The following is a 3,687-nucleotide window of genomic DNA, read 5'->3' on the forward strand; positions in this document are numbered from 1 at the left end:
ACCCAGTCGGAACACCTTGGAGTCTCACAGCCTCCATCTCTACCCTATGCCCATCCAAGGACGTCAAACAGGAGAAGTTCCCTTGTCCCCCAGAGTCTGGGAGGTCTCGACCGGCCTCATTAGGGTGGAGGGTTTTTGTTTTGTTTTTTTGGTTTTGGTTTCTGGTTTTTTGTGGTTTTTTTTTTTTTTTTTTTTGAGACGCAGTCTTGCTCTGTCGCCCAGGCTGGAGTGCAGTCGCGCGATCTGGGCTCACTGCAAGCTTAGGGTGGAGTTTTTGAAGCTGTGAAAGGAAGCAGAGCCTTGTACCTGCAGGAAACAGAGAGGTGGCAGGGTTTTGGAAGAGAGACAGACCCGACAGTTTCGCATTCGTTCACACTCACCTTCCAGGATCTCAGGCGAAGTCCCCAGTTGAAACAGGAAAAATTCCTTTATCCCCATGGCGGGTCTTGCTATGGGGCAGCGGAGTGGCTCGCTTTTTCAGTGCCCCGAGGCTCAGACCTCTAGGGCAGCATACAGGCGGGCAGGCTGTGGGGCTCCAACCCCAGGGCAGTGTCTAGGGGTGAATGTTAACAGCTCCGGAAGCCCCAGGGGGAATGTGTTACAGGGTACTCTTTTAGTTTAGCTAGGTATACACAGCTCGTGTTAGCTCAATTAGACCCCTGCCTTATCACAAGGACAGAGGGCTTTGTGCATCCCAGGGTTCTTGCCTTGGTGTACCAGAAGCAGATCACATCATGGGCTTGGAGAATGAGCACAAGGTTGTATTGAGTGGAGATATCACATGGCGGAAGCCAAAAGGGGATGGAGTGGGAAGGTTTCTCCTGGATCCCGGCAGCTGAGCAGCCTGGGCTGTCCTCTCACTGCCGCAGCCAAACTCCACGTTGTTGTTCTGCAAATCGGTGGCCTGCCGGCATGCAGGTGCCTGTTACTGTATTCCTCTCGACATCCAGCCACCCGTGTGTTCCTCTGCCTATCTGCTCCTCTCGACGTCCAGCAGCTTGTGTGTCTGCCTGCTAGGGTCTCAGGCAGTTTTATAGGCCCAGGATGGGGGCGTGGCAGGCCAGGGCGGTCTTGGGAAATGAAACAAAAATGCCTGTCCTCACCTAGGTCCATGAGGGTGGAGCCCTAGCCAGGGACCATGGCCTTCCTCTACCCAGCACGTCCCCTGTTCCCTGTCATTTAAAGGCACCCCGCCCTTCCCTTCCCAGCACTTCCCTTCCATATCGGAAGCATGGTGCAATGGTCTCATATAGAAGAGAAAAGAGCTTAACTGTGGCTGAAACCAGTATCTTTGCTGCATAGCATTTGTTTTAAGGTTTTTCTTTCTCAGCCAAGTTTGTGCATTTCAGGGCCGTGCATAATGTTGCCAACAAAGCTTTCTGGATGATTGCTAGTGAATTCAGAGTTTCACATTGCCAAGTCCAATTTATCCATCTCAAACGCTCCACCAAAGTTACCTTATCCTCAAGAAAGCTATGTCTATGCTTGGAAGACTAGCTGACTACAAAATAGAACTCTGCATTCTGCAAAGCATGCTCAATGCCTATTGCACTTGGATAATGCCTTTCTTCATAGTTATCCAGCATGCTCGGGCTCTCTGCCACTCCTGGGAGTGTAGCTCGTCACAGTGATGTTCACAGCCAGATCTCCACAAGAGAGGGTTAGAGCTCAACACATTAGCCTCAGATATTCCTCATAACACAGACACAGGTAAGCATTATATAAAGTTTAACTTATCATCCACGCACACGGATGCATATACATATACAGAGATGATAGCCAACAAAAAAATAAAGGCAAAGAAATACATATGTTGGTTTTATAATCTTTTTATGTAGATTTCAAAAAAAAAAAGAAATGGAGTTTAGTATTAGTAGATAGTTTGCTAGGGCTGCCATAACAAAGTACCACAGACTAGGCAGATTACACAGTAGTAATTTATTTTCTCACAGTTCTGGAGGCTAGAAGTCCGAGGTCAAGGTGTCAGCGGGGTTTGTTTCTTCTAAAGTCTCTCTCCTTAGCTTATATACAAAATGCTCAAGATGGTCATCTTCTCCCTGTGTCTTCACATGGTCTTCCCCTTCTATGTGCCTGAGTCCTCATTTCCTCTTTGTATAAGGTTATCAGTTAGATTAGATTAGGGCTCACTGGAATGACTTCATTTTACCTTAGTTAGCTCTTTGAAGACCCTGTCTCCAAATTCAGTCCCATTGTGACGTACTGAGGGTTAGGACTTTGGCATACGAATTTGTGGGGCTGGGGGGAACAATTCAGCCATAACAGGTCGTATCCCGTATAATAACTTTATTTTGTGAGATACAGTCTGGATGTAACTGTAGGAGTCAATTCAGGGTATGATGGTCACACCTCAATAGTGAGTTTCAAAAATATGATTGATTTGACACTGCATGATATCTCTCTTAAGGAAAGACTTTTTATCCGTTTTTGCTTCCCATCACTCAACTCTTAATTCAACACTCACTGTACACAAGATGCGGCTAACTTGCTATGAATAGTAAAAGATTCCTAGATGTCTAAGACGCAGCCCTCATTGTCAACATCGTTTCAAATATTGATAACTCATGAGATTGTGTAGTTGGCATATGATAAATGCCAGAATATAAGCAGCCCTAGGGCAGTGACCGGGCACAGCGTTGGTGTGCATTACATGCTTTGAGTAAATGTTATGTCCATAGAATTATTTTTACAGTATGTCTTTGATATCTGAAGAGGGTAAAAGTGAAGGTGGTACCATATTCCCAAAAATGTCTTTGTGACATTTTCCCAGTGACAACTGAGAGTTTAGGACTAGAGATGGAACTATGTCTGACATGAATCAAAAGTAAAAAATTAAAGTCAGCAGTTAAAGACCACCACCTGTGAATCAGTCTTTCCAGTCTGTTCCCTTGAGGAAAATTTTTGAGGATTCCTCGAAAAAAATAAATATGGAGAATTGATTGGGAAGCTGAGGCAAAGTGTTACAAGATTGTATCACATTTATTAAATGTCATATGCAGCTTGATTACATGTTAATCCTTTATTTGATTAGTATGTTTAAGTGGTCATAGTTAACAGAACTTCTTCCCCTTAAGACAAGAGTTCTCCAACTTTCAAGGTATGCCTTTCTTTTTTTTCTCTGTGGAAGACAGTCTGAGTCAAAAACACAATTTAGTCCATTTCCCCCTTCAAATATTATGGAAAAATTTTTTTTTCTAGATTGGTAGCCAACGTATCACACTTTCATCCTTCTGGAACTTTCTTGTGCCAAGAAGAACCCTTTAAGCACAGTTGTTAACAGTGACCCAGGCAGCCTCTTCTGAACAGCCCACGGCTGTCACACACCCATTGCTACAATTTCTACAGACTTGAAGCTAACACTTCAAGCTAACACACAGTGTTTTTTAAGATCTTGTGTTAGTAATAAAAAAGTCATAAATAATTCCTGTGTGAAGCTCTCTAGTTTTCATCAGTATTTTTGACTTAATACAAAGGCATTTTAGAAGTGAGTCCTATTACTGTCTGTGAAACAATGCAAGGCTGTGGTAGGTCTATTTGAGACAAGATTTTACAGCTATGTCATAAAACATATCTGAGTAAAAACACATGGTCTCTTGATCATTAAGATTTTTCCAATTGAATGAGCCAAGCTTCACAATACAGCAGAATTTAGTTTCTGCTTTGATACCT

At 43.6% G+C, this 3,687-nt stretch overlaps 1 annotated feature.

The window, feature by feature from the left end:
- Positions 469-969: an enhancer, noted in NCBI's record as "H3K4me1 hESC enhancer chr13:23218322-23218822 (GRCh37/hg19 assembly coordinates)". NCBI's record gives its function as "activates a minimal SCP1, AML or CMV promoter by ChIP-STARR-seq in naive H9 embryonic stem cells {active_cell/tissue: H9 hESC(naive)}" and the evidence as "EXISTENCE:reporter gene assay evidence [ECO:0000049][PMID:30033119]".

The sequence above is a fragment of the Homo sapiens genome, chromosome 13 (assembly GCF_000001405.40).
Source record: "Homo sapiens chromosome 13, GRCh38.p14 Primary Assembly".
NCBI lineage: Eukaryota > Metazoa > Chordata > Mammalia > Primates > Hominidae > Homo > Homo sapiens.